Source organism: Homo sapiens, chromosome 2, assembly GCF_000001405.40.
Source record: "Homo sapiens chromosome 2, GRCh38.p14 Primary Assembly".
NCBI classification, from domain to species: Eukaryota; Metazoa; Chordata; class Mammalia; order Primates; family Hominidae; genus Homo; species Homo sapiens.
The window spans coordinates 44,920,930-44,939,343 of NC_000002.12; the positions used below are offsets into that span (position 1 = coordinate 44,920,930).

Below are 18,414 nucleotides of genomic sequence, written 5' to 3' on the forward strand. Positions count from 1 at the left end.
GGTAGTGAGTGTCAACACTCTTTCTGCCCTACCATGCCTGGCCACTGGGAGTATAACTGATTTCTTCTCTTTATCCTATCCCTTCTGGAATAACTAAAAGATTTCAAAAAGAACTCAAAACTGAGACACAGTAAACACGCACACAAATTGTGGCATTTACAATTTTAGATTATTAGACTGTTGAATCTCTGTGTGGCCAAAGACCTGTACAGGGGGCTTTGGAGGGGTCACAGGGGGCCAGGAGTCAGAGGGGATGGTTTCTCAACCCAAGAGACAGGAGATCAAACCTAAAGGAGAAGAAAAGCCAAGGATGATGTTAGAAAAAAAGAACAAAAACAGAAGGGAGCCTGGGAGGGGCCCAAACTAAGGCGTCTAGAACGAGATATCAAAATTAGAGCTTGAGTAGGGCTTAAAGAGCCAGAAGTAAAACTAAAGCATCTCAATCTGTAGCATCTCGCAAAAAGTTAACCTGGCTGGCACAGTTTTGGGGAGTACAATGCTTTTCCTTGGCTTCAGGAGACCCCCTTTCCCAACTCCTTTGACCTTCAAACATCGATTGCAGAATCAATGTTCATTGATTATTGTGCTTTCATTGGGACACAGCGCAGACACGCACAAATCAGCCAGCTCTTCCCTGACTATGGTGGTGGCCTAGTCCATCTGGGCTGCTATAACAAAATACCTTAAACTGGGTGGCTCATAAACAACAGAAATGTGTTTCCCACAGTTCTGGAGACTGGGAAGTCCGAGATCAAGGAACCGGCAGATTCGGTGTCTGGTGAGGGCCCATTTCCTGGTTCACAGATGGTGATTTACACGATGGAGGGGGCAAGGCAGCCTTTTTTATGAGGCTCCCCCTCCATGACCTAATAAAGTCCCAAAGTCCCCACCTTATTACACCATCACATTTGTGATTAAATTTCAACATATTAATCTGGGGAAGACACAAACATTCAGACCATAGCCGGTGGGCAAGGGCTGAATCCCCCTTGGCGCACAGCCCAGGGGATTGAGAACATTTGGAAAGGGAGAACTGGAGTGAACAAGCCATGTTGAAGGGTGAGTGAGTGCCCAGAAGCCATAGTCCTGGGAGTAGCATGATGGCAGTGGACAGGCACACAAACAGGAAGAAACTGGCAGGTCTTTCCGGTGGTGACGTGAAACTCAAAGCCATTGGAAGGATGGCCGTGTGTTCTGAAAATGAATCACCAGGGAGAAAGGAGCCTCTTCCACCCAGACATACAAGATACATCTCACCTACCCAATTATGGCCAATATTTGGGAGCCAGGATTTATGATTCAGAGTCAGTTTTCTTTTTCTTTTTTTTTTTTTTTTTGTGGGGGAGAAGTCATGGTGATTTTGAACCTTGGAGGAAAAGAATAAAGCCATTATGGAGAAAGCTGGGTGTATGAGTGGATTATAAGCCTGCATGGTGGCCTGGTTGGGGCTGTCACCCCCTTAATTAGAGTCACAGATTGCTCATGCCTCAAATATCTTGAGTAGGAAAGGAAGGAGCAAAAATGGAATGAGAATAATAATAATAATAATAATAATAATAAAGAATTTGCTGATATCAAATGTTTTCTCCTTGGTTTCTGCTTGCCCAGGTCTGAGTGGTGCAGCTTATAATTAGTCTCTGCTTGCAGAAGTGTGGTTCCAAAGACTTGAGGATTAAAGACAAACTCTAGAATTTCTCAGTACCTGACAAGCTGTAACATGAAAAGCTACACTTAGTCCATTAAAGATTTTTCACAGTGACACTTGAGTGCAGCTTCAGAAATATGCCACCTTGCCATTTATCATTTTCAGGGCACGGGTGTCGGAAAGGAGTTTGCTATGAAGAACAAAACAAAATGGATTGCATGTGTAGAGGTGAGCTGGCGAATACTGATAAATGTACTTCACTGAATGTCAGCAAATGTCACTTGAGAAGCCATTTGCAGCTACCATAACAGCCTCCCAAACCCAACAAAGAGTAGCAAAAACGGGCAAAATGAACTGGGCGTCTTGCTTCCGCATGAATAAGCAATCAGCCCTCTCAGAAGTTACACCAGAAAGTTGTTAAACTTGATAGAAGAAGCTTTTCCAACCATACTGATGCATACTATAGATTGCTGCAGAGGGCTGGAGACCTTCTGAGGACGTCAGCGCTGTGACTCTGGGCAGAACTTCACAACCCCTTCTCTTCCAGGTAGGTGCCTTCCTTTTGTATGTGCAGCCACTGGCTGTCTCTGAGACATATTTTCTGGGTTTTCCCACACCAGCTTGCTGCTTTTGCTGTGTCTACAGACCCCTCTACTCCCTACCCACTCCTAATCTACCCTCCCTTGCAGTGTAATCTGGGAGTGGCTGCAGATGTGACGTGGGATGCAGTCCTCACATGCCATATAAAGAGAAGACCCAACAGAAACACCCTTGAGCCAAAATTTCAGTCTCTCACTCAAGAAAAGAATTTTCAATGTGTCTCCTGGTTAATGTGAAAATTGGAGTAATGGACTCAGCTTCTGGTTCATTCTTGGTGCCCTGGCCAAAACTTTCCCTCTATGTGATTTAGGATTTCTGGAAGATGGGGCCAAGTGTTCTTCAGAATTCAGCTTGGGTTGAGATGTTCCCTTCTTCCTCCTCAGCTTGGTGAGTCTCCAGACTTTCCTGCAGAGAAGTAAATGGGAAAGAAGATCATATTCTCAGAAAAGCTCTCCATGGAATGTGAGATTAATTAAAATAAAATTCCAGCCCCTCTTCATTTTCTAATCTCTGGGGGCTCCTCCTCCTCTTTAACACATACGAGGTCATCCAATACTTTTTTCCTCCTTCATACCAAGAGACTTTAACAGAGTAGCCTGAATTTGTCTGGCCTTGTGAAATATACCACACACACACGCACGCACGCACGCACGCACGCACATTGCCCATACAAACTGAGGTCAGTTAGGCTTTCATTGGTGCAATGCTGTGGTATAGGGCTCAGATACAAGAAGCCCTTTGTTGAATGTACATCTCAGACTCTGTCCCTGAATGTGCTAATGGACACACTTCCCTCTTCACACTGTTCTGCCATATGTTTAGCCTGTGTACATTGGAAATGAACACATTTTACAACCAGGAAAAGATGGGCTCTTGGGAAAGTGAGCTTCCCTCAGATGAACTCGGAGGGATGGTGCAGGAAGGAGGGATTGGAAGCTAGCTCCTCTTCAGCCACACTCCTTGCAGAGTTCTTAATTCTTGGTGTTTCCTCCTTTTAAATTAGGTGCTTCCCATGGAAGGGCCTTTACTTGGGTCTCGGGAACTCACAAGCCATCTGCTTATTACTGAAATTGAATTGCCCTCAACTTGTTGACTTTCATGTCAACAAGTTTAGTTTAGGAAGAAACGGTGGCATGTTTAGGAGAGAGAAAAGGAGAAGATGAAAGCCAGATCTCTGGATCAGAGGTGGAGGTGAGGGAAAAGTGGAAGAGATCCTCCAGAGAGAATGAGATGTGAAATGTTCCGCTTGAGGCAGGACCCATAATACAGCCTGGCAGCACTTTACTCAGTTAAGGCACTTTCCGAAGAGCAAATCTCTGCTGTGTCCCAGCGTGGAATGTATGTCCCAGACCCAAAAAGCTACTAAAGCATAAAAAGACATTCTAAAGAAAAGACAATATGGGTGCAGATTTCTCATTGTGCCAGTATTCTTTATTTTCTTAGTTGCTGTAATTTTAAAATTTGTATCTTAAAGCTCAAGCTAATAAGCATCTGTTCCCTGGTGTGAAAAGAAACTGTTCATAATTGATTAATATCACACGCATCCTGTAATTGCTTGAGGCTAGAGCTATGTAAAAACCTACCTTCCCATTGTTTTGTCTTTAAAGAACAAAAACAAAAACTGTGTCGTATAGACAAGGGTAGCCAATATTGTCTCTTTCAGTGAGAAAAAGCAAAGCTGATTTGGGTGAGCTACTTTACCCACTAATTAGTGGCAGTAGCAGGTTTCCTTGTTTTTAATCCAGAAGCTGTTTACAGTGGATTCTTCTCTGCTCTATTTAAAAACCTAACAAGGCCCCTTTAACCATTTTGCATTCTGGGATGTTTCAAACAAAATGTTAAATTGCTACCACAAGAAGAAGATTTGTTTAAAATACAAAACTGCTTAGAATTGCAGTAATCCCCTCATTCTTGCAAGAATGTAAACAGGACATCAGTTTAGGGAACATTTGCCCATGGAAAAGTCTCCTCTGAGCAAGAAACTTCACCCACTGCATGGGAGCAATGGGCATCATTTAATCAGCTCTAGACATTCCCAGTTTCAAACTGAGTTCCCCTGTCCTTGAAGGAGTGGAAAGATACATTAAAGTGGGAGATAAATAAGCAAATTTCAGGTTAACACTGCAGACAGGCCATCCTAAGGAGAAATGTTTAGAGGAATTTATTATCAGACTTCCACATAACTTCACTCACGTATTCATTCATTCAAGTAGGCACTTTTAAATGCCTACCTTATGTCAGACCTGACATAATATCTTACCTAGATAGCAAGTTTGCTTAGAAGTCACACTCTTTGCCATCTAGAATCACACTCTTTATGGCTCAGCTCAAACCCCATCTCTTCCTTCTAAGGTTTCTCCCATGCTTCCCTGTGTGCTTCCAACCAAGACACCCATAAAGCAGCATTGTTCTGTGCTGTCCTGAACTGGGTACATCTTTCTCCACAACAAGTGTTAGTTCCTTGAAAAAAGGGTCTCTATCTTATCTCTGCATCACTGAGATAGTCTTTCCTAGTCTGCTCTTTAAAATGAGATTTAAGGCACTGAAAACTGGGTTATCTCTCACTCACGTAGAGATCTAAACCACTTTGGTGTGAATACATGGGAAGCAGCCTTCTCCTCCTTGGCTACTGATAGTGTCTGGATTCAGCATTCAATGAAGGTTGTACCAACGATGTAGGTTGGGGAGGAAGTGGATGAGTCCATCCGGATAATCTGGGTGTCATGCAGGCAACATCAGACTGGTTAATTTGGAGGAATAGGAGCTGAATTATCCAAACAATTGTGTAGATGCAGCCTCTGCTGGCAGAGCCATTTTCCCCACCTCTGTATCAAATATGCTTTAGAGATTTGGGAGTTGACACCGCATCCAGATATAGTGGGAGAGAAATGGAGAACATTCACATTTTGCTCTGCAGTTGCCAGACTTGAGGAATCCAAGCTTCTTTCCTACTACAGTAACTTATACTATTTCGCAGTGGGAAGAGTTTGGTGTAGGAATCATTCTATCTTCCCTCTCTTGTTTCTGCCTAGGTGGTCACAGGGGAGAGAATACCTAGCCCCACCAACCCCACACAGCCAATTTTGCTATTGAAATCTAAGATTTTGCATGAGATCCGCACATGTTAATGACTTTTGATGAAGAGATTTTCTTTTTTAAATCAGGGATTCAGAAATTCCCTTCCTTCCTTGTGACGCCTATTATTTTCATGTGGGCCTTTCAGGGAAGAATCTTTAAAATTTTCAATCTTTTAAAGCAGAGTCCCCCAAGCAGGCAGAATACATCCTGTCAGAGCCAAATGTCAGGCCAGAAGAACCTGTGCTTCGAGTCACTTGGCAAATGCGCAGAGTTTAACAAGCTCTATTTTTTCCCTTAAAAATACACAAAACTCACTTAACATAATTCATAGTAACACTTTCTTATTTCAAATATTTCATTTCAGTTCCTTAAAATGTATTTGTTTCCCTGCCCAGTTGGGTGGGGGGGGGGGGAAATCTGCTTCAATTTTAAGAAGAAAAATATAAAGTTTCTAAAAGTAAGGATAGCTGAAAAGTTTTTTCCCCTCTTAAATTGAGATTCAGAAAAAATAAATTTCTATATTCATTTACTTCTGTTGTGAGAGCAGAAATGCCACCTTTGTTCAAAGAAAGTTTTTGAAATGATACAAATCTACATGTGCATGTTTCTAGAATTAATACCCATATGTTCACTGTAGCGGTGGGATTTTCTACTAGGGGAATCCGCATTGGGAGAAGTATCCCCGCCTTGGGAGCATTTAAGGAAATTTTAATATCCAAACAAAAGCAGTATTACCATCACTACCCACTCCCTCCCTTCGAGGAAAAACAATTAATAATTTGCATATGCTCATGACACAAATTAAAGACAAAGGGCCACTCACAGGCTGTGGGCACTACATAGCCCTCCGCAGGCTGCAGAGTCCCAGCGCCGAACGGTTCTAGCTTCCGAATGAATAGCATTAAGCTGCACCACTAAAGCGAGGTGTTCTGGGCCCTCTGGCCCATTCCCACAATAGAATCGAGTTTCCCCAATCAGAAACATCTCCCAATCTTTCCGTAAGCTTTTAGGGGGGAAAAAAAGAACATACAGTTCCAAGGGGGGAAAAATACATATATACTTTGCCCTTTTTATTTTAATAGCCAAACATGTAATGCTAGCTAAATAGAAATTCTTGTCTGTTAATAGGTTCCTTTAGTTTGTAATAAATAGGAATGCTAATGAGTAAAATTTGGTATTTGGTATGCATTAGCTTTTGTGAGCTTTTCTTTACAGTCCTCATTGACATGCAATATGGCAAGCTTCCTTTGAAACATATTTATAAAATAACCACAGTATAATTAAACCAACAAAGCCACCTTTTAAGTAAGCTTAATAGCACAGGTTTTTTTCACCTCGGTAAAATTTACTTTAAAAAAGAAAAATAGTTATGCCTCAATCCCACTGTATATTTTATTCTGTGCATCTAATATTTCCTTTGCATCTACAATCTATGCATATCTAATTCTTTTTGACAACTATGATTATTAATAAAGTGCTTGTGAAAGATATGCTTCATAGCTTCTTCAACAAGAATGATGTTTTTTTGTTAATGGAAATTGTAACATATCTTGACAGATACAATATATGATGTGCTTTTTTCTTAATTGTTAATATTGCTATGCTGCATACACAAGGAGCAGATCAACAGATATGGCAGGTAATAATCAGAGTGGATGCCATTTTACACAATGTAACTAAAAATATTTTAATGATATAAAAGCAATAGATACATAAAAGCAATTATGTTTAATTTTGCTTTTGGTGTGCCGGCAACTTTTGGTTGTTGCTGCTGTTGCCAGTGCGCTTAGCAGAGTAGGAAGCTCGAAGCGCAAAGCAACCGGACCGAGGCAGCTCTGCCTTCTTGCAGCCCAAGGGTCCTGCAAGCCGCTCTTTCTCTCTGCGCAGCTTCAGCGATCCAGGCGCGCAGGGCCCGGCTGAATGCTAATTTGGGATACACAGGAGCGCAAGTTCACCGAGTTTTCCGCAGTTTTGCAAATCCTTTTCCCTCTCCCCATGCCTCGCGGTTTAAGACCACGCGATTTCCCAAAAAGAAAAACTCAAAAGATGCCAGGCGCCGGGCTGGAGTCACTTAGAGCCAGCTCTGGCTGCTCCTCCGCCTCCCCGACCCCCGGCCGCCGCTCCGCCCTGCCCCTCGCGCCTCGACCCCTTCTCCCGAAACTCCGTCCTCTCCGCCGAGGGGCTGCCTTGCCCCCAACCCACCCCCCGCGTGGAGAATAAACACAGTTGACATCACTCTTATAATCTTTATTTAAAACTGTTTCCAAGGTTACAAATTGCCGAGCCTCGTATGCAACAGGTTCCTCCAAAGCGGTATCATTACAGATTAACTGTAATGTGTAGGATTAGAATAAAAGCATAAGGGATTAGGTAAAAGGGCGACGCTCCAGACATAACGCCCGAGCGCATCTCGACTGAGTCAGCCTAGGGAGACTGCGAAGGCGCAGGGTGTCGGGGCGCCACGGGGCCGCAAAGCCGGACTCGGTTCCTCCGCTCCCGGCCCTGGCCCCGGCCCCAGAGCGGTCGGGACAGCGGCGCCGGAAGGCCAACGCGGCCGAAGGTTTCGGAGCCAGGCTTCCCGGGCGTCAGGGGCTAGGGACGGGTCCCCGGAGCTGGGGAAGATGAGGGGCCGAGAGGCCGTGGAGGCGGAGGACGCGGGCAAGCCACGGCCCGGCTGGGAGCTTCGGGAAGCGCCGCGCCCGGGACGCGGTCTCCGGGCGGGGCGAAGCGCAGGGAAGGCGGCGAGGGGGTCCCCACACCCGCACGGGGCACCGGGTTTGTCCATGTGGGTGACACTGCCTTCAAGGCCCAGGCCCGATGGGGCCCTTCCTGGCGTCCTCCTCACCCCCACTCCGCCGCGCCTCCCCTGTCCAGCTGGGGCTGGGGACAGCGGCAGGGGCTGGGCAGCCGCGCAGGCCGCCCGCACCCTTCCGAGCCCAGGCCTCGGGCCTTCGCCGCCCGCCCAGGCCGTGCGCCCTATTGGACCACCTTCCCCCCGGCCTTCGCCTGCCCCTCTCGCGCCAGGAAGGCCCTGGAGCTCCCTCTCCCCCTCACACCGCTTCCTGCGGGGCCAGGGCTCGCCGTGCTGGCCCCATTTGGACTCAGGCCTGACCTGGGCCACGGCCTCAGGCCGCTGACGCAGCCCCGAGGGCTGTTTGCGTGTTGGGGTGGAGGGCGCGGGGCTGGAAAAACAAACAGGGCGGGGGCGCGGAGGTTTGGGGTGGGGGCCGCAGGGGGCTGGAAGGAAGTGCGCAGTGTGGCGAGAGCGCGAACAAAGCCCTCTCCGGAGCCCCGTCACCCCTCGGTGACCCCAGGCCCGCCCCGCTGAGCCGCGGGGCTCCCGGGCCTCGCCTCCGAGCAGGCCGCACCGCCCGGTGGGCGCACGTCAGGCCTCCGCGGCCGCCCGGGCCAGTGCTCCCCTCGGTCCCCGCAGGCCGAGCCCGCGGCCGGCCCCGAAGGCGCGAGGGACAGCGCGGCCGGCGGTGGAGCCTCACTCAGGCACGGAGCCCACAGAGCGAGGCTGAGGAGGACTCCATGCTGTTGTCCGTCGGGAAACCGGACTACTCTGGGGCGCGCTGGAGCCACCATTCTGCCAGCAGCCGGGGAGGGGCCGCGAGGGCTCCCAAGTGGACGGAAGTAGGCGACCAACTTCGCCGCGACTCCTGCTTCCTAGAGAAGGGCCTTGGCTGAGGAGGCGGCGGGAGGGGACTGTTGCAAACAGCTGTTCCTCATACATATTTCATTACACAATCAGATAATGCGTCCCACCACCTTCTCAATTATTCACAGATAAACATTTTCAAGACGTTTTGACATCTGTCTTAGTGCCTGCTATTAATTTAGTAATCACTGTAGTTAAAAATGTATGGGATTTTTGCCGTCGGAGCACCTCGTATCCGGCGCGCGGGCCCAGTGTGGGACTGCGGCTGGGAGCCCGGGCCCTCCGGGAGTGAAGATACCTTTGGAGGTGAGACGGCCTCTCTAGCGCGTTGACACTGTTGATGGAAGGGATTAAAGGGGTATCAGGTTATTTTAATTTATTGTTGAAGATGATGACTGCCCCCTCCCCGATCCGCATACCGTCCTCACTTTCCCACCCCAACCCTAGACCCGACAACACCGTTCAGCCCTTTGCCCCGGGCAGCGGAAATGGTTAGCTTCCTCTAGGAGTTTCTGCTGAGGAAGGCGCAGGCAACCCTAGTCGGCTTAGAGAGAGACAACCGCACGCGATCACCGAGCACGATTTCTCCCAACAAAAAAACTAACAATAATAGCGATCCACACACTCAAGAGGTCTCAAACCTCCGAAGTTTTGCCCCGAGTCTTGTGGCCCTGGCAGAGGTGACAAGGGCATTTGGGAAAGACAGAGAAAAATAAATTCGCTCCAGTGACTGTACACGGGGCATTTGAGGCTGTGAGAAAACGAGTTGCTTTTCTGCTTGAGTGATAAATGTTGCAACGGGCATAGCTATGTAGAAGCAAACAGTTTTTAAAACCAGAGAAGCAGAGTTTGACGAACCTTGTAAGGCTGAAAATAATAGCATACATTTCCAACTTCAAGATGCTGTGATTAATTGTTGGGAAAGCTCTAGATAAATTACCCAAACGGGGGAAATACTCAAAGGTAAACGAGTTTGTTTCTTTGTGTTCTGAATCTCAGCTGCCAGGAATGAAAGTTACACTTTTAGTTTGAGAGTGATGTCTATTTACTTCTCTTCCTTCTGTCGCAGTCTCTTTCCCAGGTGAGTTAGCAAGTGGACTTTGATTTTTAAAACTACCTCATTTGGGAACGAGGAAAAACAAATCTGGTGAAAGAAAATGGCCCTGGAAGAAACTGCCCTTCTAACGAAGATTAAGTGACTCCAAAGTGATTTTCACTCTTTATTGTTCAAAATATCCACAAGAACAAACTCGCTAAAATTTCCAGGAATTAACTGTATCTAGAAAAAGAAAAGGACATAGTGTTTGCCCCCAAAAGAGAAGACATTCACACCCCCATACTCTTCTGTTTCTAGGGCAACTACATCTGCAGAAACATGTCCTCCTGTGGCGTTTTCCGGGTAGTTGATTTCTTCTTCACAAAATGGGCCCTCCTCTGCCCCTTGGAGGGTGGTCATCCGACTTGCTGGCCCAGAAAGTCCTTTTTTTCCACCTTCTTTGTCTAAATGAATCTTCTTGGACTTACACTCCACTTTCAGATGAGAGAGCGAGGCTCAGAAGATGTGCTCAAAAGAGAGAAAGTTAGGAAAGGAGGTGAAGTGGAAGCGAGGGCGCCCCTGCTCCCAGGGAGCCTGCCTCTTCTGCAGGAAACCGGGAGGTAGCCACTAGAACTGGTTAGGCAAAGGGAGCTCACACTAAAAACAAGCCTATGTAGAGTAGTTTCTCAGGCCTTGCCCAAGAGCCACTCTGGAAACTCCTCTTGGCAACCCCCCAACTCCGCCCGGACACCGTGCTCAGCCAGAGACAGGGGAGCAGGGGGTGAGGACTTCCCAATATATCACAAAAAATTTTTTTAAATAAACTATGTAATTTGGTTTACTTTGAAGTGTGTTCTTCTGCAAACATATCTGACATACAGGGTATTGGGGTGGAGTTGGGGGCAGGAGGGTGTGGATCCTTTTGAATGATCAAGTTTAGGATAAGAAGGGTGAAAGGGGCAAAATAAGGGCCCTCCAGCTTCTCAGGCCATGGTTAGAGCTGAATGTTCCTATTAAGAATTATGAATCTCCCAGCAGTGAGTGAGAACTTGCATACGCGCCACCCAAATCCTTTTTCAGAATGCAAACCCCTAGGTCAAAAATAATAAGAAATAAACAATAAAAACAATCTCGGTCAAAATGAATCTTTCCTGGATTGTCCTTTTCTGGGTATCTCCAACAGAGCTGAGAGGAAGGCTAAAAGGTTGGCTCTGAGTGGATGAGGCCTTGGTTCTTTCTAGTGGCCAGGACTTGACCTGAAACCTTTCACCCAGTCGGCTCAACAAAGTTTCTCCCTCCGAGCCAACGTCCCTCTAGCAGGAAGCCCCCTTGGCCTTGCGGCCTGCGTCCTCATTCGGCGAACTCTCCCGTTCACGGCTTCCTGTACATCTGCCCTTGTGGTTGGGGTCACTCCTCGCAGGCACTGTGGCTTTTGTCTGCATCTGGACAACAGGGTGTGCACCCGTGTATTCAAATAATTATGCCTGTGGGCACTTCTTTATTCCTCAAATTCCTGTTAGTGTTCCTTTAATTCTCCCGTAGTGTTCCTTTAATTCTCCCATGTGTATTCGGTACGATTGCCTGTACGTTCCAGGCATAGTCAGGTGACTCAGCTTGAGTCTGAGCTCAAACGTGCGCGACCCCCTGGGTCTGCATGGGGAGAAGGAGGTGTGCACGTGCAAACGCGGGACTTTGGGTGGAGTGTGAGGTTGATAGGGCTTTCGGCCCCAGGGCCCTCTAGGCCTCTTTTAAATACCTTCATCTGCCCAATTTCTTAACCTTTCAGGACAAGGAGGGAGACCCTCCGCGATCCTGCGCCTTGCCACCCTTTGGGAAGGATAGGACCATCATCTAGGGCGTCTCTCGGTGGACTGTGGCTGGGCCGGGCTGAATGGGCGGGCGGAGGTCTCGAGGTCGTCTCCTGGCTCTCGATTGCTCCCATCACCCAAGCCACCTCGAGGTCGAGTGCGCCCTGGGGCTATGTCTGGGGAGGTCATGGCGTCTCGGGGCGAATGATATGCACGTTTTGGGGCAAAACTCTCCTAGGCCTCGCAGGAGCAGCTGTATTTGTAACTTGGAATTGGCCTGGGCCCGCCTCCCTTGGCCCCTCCTCCAGCTCCTACCTCAACACGCAGCGCTCAGCGGGCTGCCAGAGTGAGCTTCCCGGACCACCCCCAAGCACCCTGGGGCCTCACCATCCTTCAGGGTCCCTGGGGCATCCTAGAGGCCTGGATCTGGAAGAATGGGGGCCAACAAGAGTGGCCAGGGCTCTCCTGGGGCGGTTTTGCGATGTATTCCTCCGCTAGAATTAGCCTTTCGGGCCTGCGCGCCTACAGGTTTCAGAGGCCAGCGGGAACGGTGGCCTCGGGTGTGTGGGGGTGAGGGGTGTGGTGTGTGTGCACGTGTTCACGCGCGACTAGAAGCGGTTCCTTGTGCATTTCTAGAATCTTGTAGATGTGTTTTCTCGTGAGAATGATGCAGACTTACTGCTGACTTAAGGTCAGTTTGTTTGAAAAGGGAGAACGTCAGTCCGATGGTCGGTGGTTGTGTCTCTCCTGAGCATTCGTACAAAGTGAAGCCACCTCCCCTCCGCCATGCAGTCTCCCAGACCGGGTCAAAGGACCCAGGCTCCAGGTCGCTGAGGCCTGGAGGGCTGAGGCCCTTGCTGTGCGCCCTGGTGCTCTGATCCCAAGGCCCAAGCTGCCCCGGTACCCACTTAGGGTCAGGGTGGAAAGCCTACGTGGGAAAGGGGGACCTGGAGGACTACCCCCACGCCCATGGCAGGGTGGAGTCCCGACCTTGGCATATTGGACCTACTCACTTGGCATCTCCCTGCCCCGACCCCGTCTGGGATCCGTATTGGCAGCGACGAGGAAGGGAGGAATGGTAAGGGAGTTGGGTCGGTACAGGACGGAAGTGAAGATGGAAAGAGAGAAGAAAAATAAACAAAACTGGGTAGGGACATGGAGATGGGTGAGGCAGGGGTAGGGGTGGAGTTGGGGCTGCCTCGGGGAGCAGCGGCTTTTCACCCTGCTATAGGGAGGTGCGTTTGGCTGAGCTGTCCCCCCACCAAATAAAGCTAATGATGTAGTAATTTAGGAGGGGGAGAGGGGCTGGGCAAAAGGAGAGAGGGGAGAGGATGGGGAAACGCGCGCCCCAAGAGCAAAAGCAAACAGCTGTGGAGGCGCTGCCCGCGGCTCAGGCTTCCCAACAGGTTAGCTATACTGGGATCCACCCGGCATTTCGCAGGAAGGGGTGGGGGGAAGACAGAGCGAGAGGGGGAGAGAGGCTCACAAGAGGACAGAGGGAGGGAGGGAAAGAGAGATAGGAGCCAGAGAGCGCACCGCGCGGCTTAAAAGGAGAGACTTACTAATGAATATTTATCCGCCGCTGCTCCGTGCTCCCGGCTTCCCTTACCTTTCGGCAGGTAAGATCCTCCCTGTGCCCCAGCCCCGGGGGCCCTCCTAGCTCCCCAGTCGGGGAGCCTGTGGCTGGGCGGGAGGGCTCTCCGTTGGTGGGGGTGGGAGGGCGGCTCTACTCTGCGTTCACTTTGGGTGCCCAGGCATGCGACCCTGCACGACTAGGAACCGCGTGCGTGGGCTCCATGTGTGGAATGAGTGTGAGCATGTAAGAGTGTGTTTGTGTGTGTGCGAGAGAGAGACAGAGAGACTATGCGCCCGCAAGCGCGCGCGCGCGCCTGTTTGTGGCGCGCTCTGGAAACATTTTCCGACTTTTCACTCGGACGCCCTGGATTTCTCGCCTTTGCCTTTCTCTGCTTCCCCTCCCTCTTCTCTCGCCCTCCCCTCCCCCACCCAGGTCTACCCCACCCTACCCCACTCCTACCCCGGCTGCTGAGGCGCTCTTCTGCCGGCTATTGTACGGCTGGCGCGGGCTCCCCCTGGCCACATCCCGGGCCTCTCACACAAGAAGAATAGTTCTGTTTCCGCCGTAAACCCCCACACAAAGGCTGCCCGGCCACCGGGTCCCCTGTCCCCCTTCCCGGGGACTTCGGCTTTTGAGGTGCTGCTGCGCGTTCTTTCTCCCTCCCCCTCTCAGGGCGCCAGGGCCCAGACCAAGGAGCTAAGAGTGATCGGGACTTGGGGGTACCGGGTGGAACTCCTTGGGGGCCGCCCGCCAGGCTTCCTGGGCTGCAACTCGGAGCCCAGAGACCCCCAGGGGAAGGGCGCCTCTTCCCCCACCACCACCCCAGCCGTCGCCTGCGGGAGGAGCACGGGGAACCCGGCCCAGCCAAAGGGGGAAGAGGGAGGGGAAAAGGAAGAAGGTCGGGGAGGGGCTGACCATATAACCAGAATTCTTTAAACGGACTTACCCGGCCACCTGTTGAGAATCCATGTGGGGTCGGCTGGCTCCGGAGTTGCGCAAGGTGGACACACAAAACCAAAAGCCGGAGTTGGGAAAAGAAAATTCTTTCTCTGACCATGCCAGACGCGGCCGGTCAGGCTCGCAGCTCCGCGCTAGGATCGGGCGGCTGTACAACCAAGATCGACTTTGCCCTGTCCCCCAACGCCCCCCTCATCCCACGGCTCCACGGCTGGGAGGCTCCGGACTCAGAGCTCGCGGACTCGGCGCTCAGGGTCAGCACCAGCAGCTCGGCTTAAGCCGGGGCAGGCTCTCTAAGCCCTGCTCAGAAGTCAAGAGCAGCAGTGCTGCCTCTCCTCGCCGCCTTTCATGCCGCGGCCGCTCCTTATTCTTGTGTCTCGGCCTCTCCCGGCCCCCTCGGACAAAACCCCCAGAGCCCGGCCACTCTCTTCCCGCTAAATCCCCTTCGGGGTCAGTGCTCTACCAGCACCGGGCCGCGCGCCTCTCCTGCCAGCCGTGTGGCTCTTAAAGAGCTGCACCCCTCCTCCGCCCTGCGCGATCCCCCGACCCCCGCCTCCCCTCCCCTCTCCTCCGGATCTAGCCCCCCACGCCGACGCCTGAGGTCCCTGCTGCCCCGACCGATGCCTGCGGACTCCCAGCCCCCTCCCCTCGCCTCCTCCCCTGAGCAGCCGGTGGGCCTGGCCTCGAGGCCACAGGGCTGAGTTCTACCCTCGCCTCAGGTCCCCTTTCTCACCAGCAGCGCACACCCCTCCCTTCCCCGCCCCTACTTTAGCCCTCTGGGTCGATCAAGGCCCGGGCACCGCCTTTGCCCAGCTCAGAGGTGATGCCTAAAGATTGCCAGTTTAGGGTTAAGTTAGGGGGTTATGTGATGGGAAATGGGGCAGGGCATGCTAGCGGAGCTAGGGAGAGAGAAAGGAAGAGAAGCAAACCAGATGGACTTGGAGGGCTCTCTGTATCCCAGGGCCTACCTGGCCTTTTGGTTCCTTTCCACGACCTCCCAGAGACGCTCACGCGGGCACGGGGTCCTGAGGTTACCAACCTGACCAGGCCCACTGTGTGTCTGAGGGATCCTGGGCATGTTTGTGTTTGTGTGTTGGGGGGTGGGGTCCAGAAAGTCCTGAGTGTGGATTTGGAGCAGCCTGCTTCCCAAGCCCAGAGCATTAATTCCCCCCAAAAGTAACCCTTAAGGGCCCAAGAGCTGTGTATGCAAGGAGGGAGTGAAGGACCTTGAGCTCCGACTGTCCAGGGAAAAGGGCATCAGAGGAGAGGGGAGACAGAAAGGGAAGGAAGGCTACACTTCCTGAGGACTGAAGCACAATTTTTAAGAGGGTGTCTTATATTTACTGGCCAGCCATGTCAGCTGCCCCACTAAGAAAAGGTGAAGTAGATGACTGCTTTGGTTTCCCTTCCTTCCAGGGCTCTGGCTCTCTGCCTCTCTGCCAGGCTGCCAGGCCAGTCTTGCAGGGTGGTCTTGCCTATAGCACTTTTTTTGCCAGGCCTCCCTGGGACTAGAAGCCAAAGAAGGGATACCTCTGTTGAGGGGGAGTGCAGGACGGGCTGTGGTCCCCTGCCTTCCCTACTGCCACTTGTCATAACATGTGACTGGGCTCTGTGAATGGTGGAGGCAATGATGGGTTAGGGAGGGGAGCTGCCCACCCTTTCTCAAATCCAAGTCCTGGCACACCAGGTCTGGCTGTTCAGAAGGGGAACCTTGGGAAGAAGTGTGTGGCCTCTGGGCAGTGGAAGCCAAGGGAACCTAAGGTGATAGGAGGATGGAAGGCTGACCCTCAGCCACCCCAGCATTAGTCCAGATGCACCTTTAAGGAACTGGAGTGACTAATTGATTTGCAATTGGTCCACTTGGGAGAGGCTGGCAGTGCACTCCCTGGGCTGGATCCTGAGACAGCAAAAGCCTCTCCTGCCACCCGCTCCCCTCCCTGCACTGCCCCCAACCAGTATGGCTCACACCTCCCAACTCTCCAGCCCCTCTCTCTTGGGAATGGGTAACTGCAGGCAGCTAGGCTGGGTTTGTGCCCACCCTCCTGGGCCTGGCAGTGGGAGGTGCCGTGGTTCAAGACAGAGCCAAACTTCCCCTGTTTCAGAATGTGGGGGGTGGAGGGTCCTTTAGAGGGCGGCGGGGCTCATTAGGCAGAGCAGGGTGCCGAGAGGTGCGCGTCGCCGGCCCCTGAGGCCGCCTTTGAGCCGTCGGGGCGGCTTCATTAAGCTGCGCTAACAAGGCGTACAAATGCCGAGCCCAGCAGCTTTCTTGCAATGCCCGGCCTTAGCAGGGCGCCGGACTAATGAGGGTCACTCAAAGGGGCTGATCAAATATTCAAATTTCCCCGCACGCCAGGAACTTTTATGCATGGAGAAAGTTGAGGCAACTGAGCTGTGTTTACTGTCCGGGGCGACAATTGCTTGGAGCGCCAGTCCCCGGAGGCTAAGGCGGGGGGCGGGGGTGCGGGGAGGGAGCAGTTGTTGTTGTTGTTTTTCAAAGGAAAGTAATCGGGGTCCTTGAAGGGCTTCGCGGCCTCCCCGCCTGCGTGCTGCGCTCCCCTGCGCCCTCCCTGGCCGCCCGCGCCAAGCGCCTCAGTTTGCAGCTTGCGGGGAGGCCCAGACTACGGGCCACCCGGCCAGCCTCCGCCTCCCGACATCCTGGGAGCCGGAAGGGGCGTTGCCCCCACAGGGCAAACCTTCCCCCGGCCTCCTGGTCGGCTGTTTAGAGCTGAGCAAGGCCAAGTGGGTGCAGCTGCCCCAACCCTCCGGATCCTCGTCTCCCGGAGGCCTGCAGACCCGTTGGCTTTCCCTGTAACCCAAAACAAGGAGAGAGTGGGAGGTCTCTCGGGCGTTCTCCAGATGTGGTTGAGACTTTCCCAGTGCTGGGGTGGCGGGTGACATTTGTAAATAAATGCCAGTTGGTCCGGGTACAAGGAGAACACTATTTAAACCCCAAAGACATCTTTTCTCCCTGCCCCACCTGAAGGCGATATTTTAGATCGCCGGGGCCAGGATTGAAGCGGGGATGATGGCAGCAAATTTGTTCTGCACAGGTGACCCGGCCTGTACGGGCGCCAAGTCCCAGATCCCGCAATCAGAGCGGCCAGAGAGCAGAGAAGAGACCTAGAGGATCTGCAAGCTGACCTATCCACCCGAGACTCTCCGCTCTGAGCGACCCCAGGGTGCAGGCGCCCTCCACGCGCCACCTCCTCTAGCGGTCCCCCAGGGTCCCTTCCCAGTCCTCGCACTGCCCTAGGGCTTGCTTGGTTCCCAGACCAGCGTGGAAGGCCGCTGGGCCCCGGAACCCAAGGTCCCTCTGCTTCTGCTCCACTCCCCAGTGCCCAGCGCCTGGGAATTTGGGAGGGGAAGCTCTGGCGCTCCACAGCCCTGCTTCCCACCCAAACACGCACTCAGAACCCCTCGACTGAGATCCTATGGAGCCTGCGCCCCCAGCCCGGCGGGGAGCCAGTCCGGCCCTCCGCTCTGGGACCAGCCGCCCCGCCTCCCTGCCCTGCTCTCCGGACTCTCAACTTACCCGCTCCAGGAGGCGGGAGTACTGCTTCAGGCCAGAGCCGAAAGGCGCTGGCGGCGGCTGGACCGCGAGGTGGGCTCGGTGGGCGGCGCCGAGCTCGGCTCTGCTGGGAGGCGCGGACAGCCCGGGGCTGCCACCTGCCCCACCGGGTCCTGGCGCACAAAGCTACACGCCTCTCTGCAGCCCTCTGCCCTGCTTCGCGTTCCGGAACCGCGGTCGCCACCCAAGCAGGCGGGGTGCGGCAGGGCGGCAGGGCGGCAGGCGCTGGGGCAGAGGCTGGGGGGCGGGGGTGTCGCCAGAGTCTCAGCCCCACTTGCCTCAGTTCTCCCTGAGTGGCGATGGTTTTTTATTTCAGCGCTTTCGGCAGAGCCCGCAGCACCTGCCCAGCCTCCCTCCGGGGCTGGCCGGGCAGTGGCAGGGAGAGGCCAGGTCGCCACCACCCGGAGGCGGGGGTTTCGGGGACGGGGAGGGGACTGACCGGGTTCACCCGCCCGCCCGGCGCCTGGGTCCCCGGCTCCGGGGGA

The 18,414-nt window shown here is 52.6% G+C and overlaps 1 long non-coding RNA gene across 2 annotated transcripts, besides 5 other annotated features; it reads right to left on the reverse strand.

Moving 5' to 3' along the window:
• Positions 1–150: 150 nt before the first annotated feature.
• LINC01833 (long intergenic non-protein coding RNA 1833) lies at positions 151–18,270 on the reverse strand. Of its 2 annotated transcripts, NR_147194.1 has the most exons (3): positions 17,894–17,959; positions 14,351–14,509; positions 10,192–10,548 (listed from the first exon to the last, which is right to left on the reverse strand). It is a non-coding gene; the product is annotated as a long intergenic non-protein coding RNA 1833 (long non-coding RNA). The 2 variants fall into 2 exon arrangements; NR_147195.1 differs by lacking the exons at positions 10,192–10,548; positions 14,351–14,509 and adding an exon at positions 151–2,650 and having other exon boundaries at positions 17,894–18,270.
• Positions 5,906–6,466: an enhancer, noted in NCBI's record as "OCT4-NANOG hESC enhancer chr2:45153974-45154534 (GRCh37/hg19 assembly coordinates)". NCBI's record gives its function as "activates a minimal SCP1, AML or CMV promoter by ChIP-STARR-seq in primed H9 embryonic stem cells {active_cell/tissue: H9 hESC(primed)}" and the evidence as "EXISTENCE:reporter gene assay evidence [ECO:0000049][PMID:30033119]".
• Positions 15,952–16,485: an enhancer, noted in NCBI's record as "H3K4me1 hESC enhancer chr2:45164020-45164553 (GRCh37/hg19 assembly coordinates)". NCBI's record gives its function as "activates a minimal SCP1, AML or CMV promoter by ChIP-STARR-seq in naive and primed H9 embryonic stem cells {active_cell/tissue: H9 hESC(naive and primed)}" and the evidence as "EXISTENCE:reporter gene assay evidence [ECO:0000049][PMID:30033119]".
• Positions 16,486–17,018: an enhancer, noted in NCBI's record as "H3K4me1 hESC enhancer chr2:45164554-45165086 (GRCh37/hg19 assembly coordinates)". NCBI's record gives its function as "activates a minimal SCP1, AML or CMV promoter by ChIP-STARR-seq in primed H9 embryonic stem cells {active_cell/tissue: H9 hESC(primed)}" and the evidence as "EXISTENCE:reporter gene assay evidence [ECO:0000049][PMID:30033119]".
• Positions 16,892–16,971: a silencer, noted in NCBI's record as "silent region_11433". NCBI's record gives its function as "represses an Ori minimal core promoter by ATAC-STARR-seq in GM12878 lymphoblastoid cells {active_cell/tissue: GM12878}" and the evidence as "EXISTENCE:reporter gene assay evidence [ECO:0000049][PMID:35858748]".
• Positions 17,966–18,095: a silencer, noted in NCBI's record as "silent region_11434". NCBI's record gives its function as "represses an Ori minimal core promoter by ATAC-STARR-seq in GM12878 lymphoblastoid cells {active_cell/tissue: GM12878}" and the evidence as "EXISTENCE:reporter gene assay evidence [ECO:0000049][PMID:35858748]".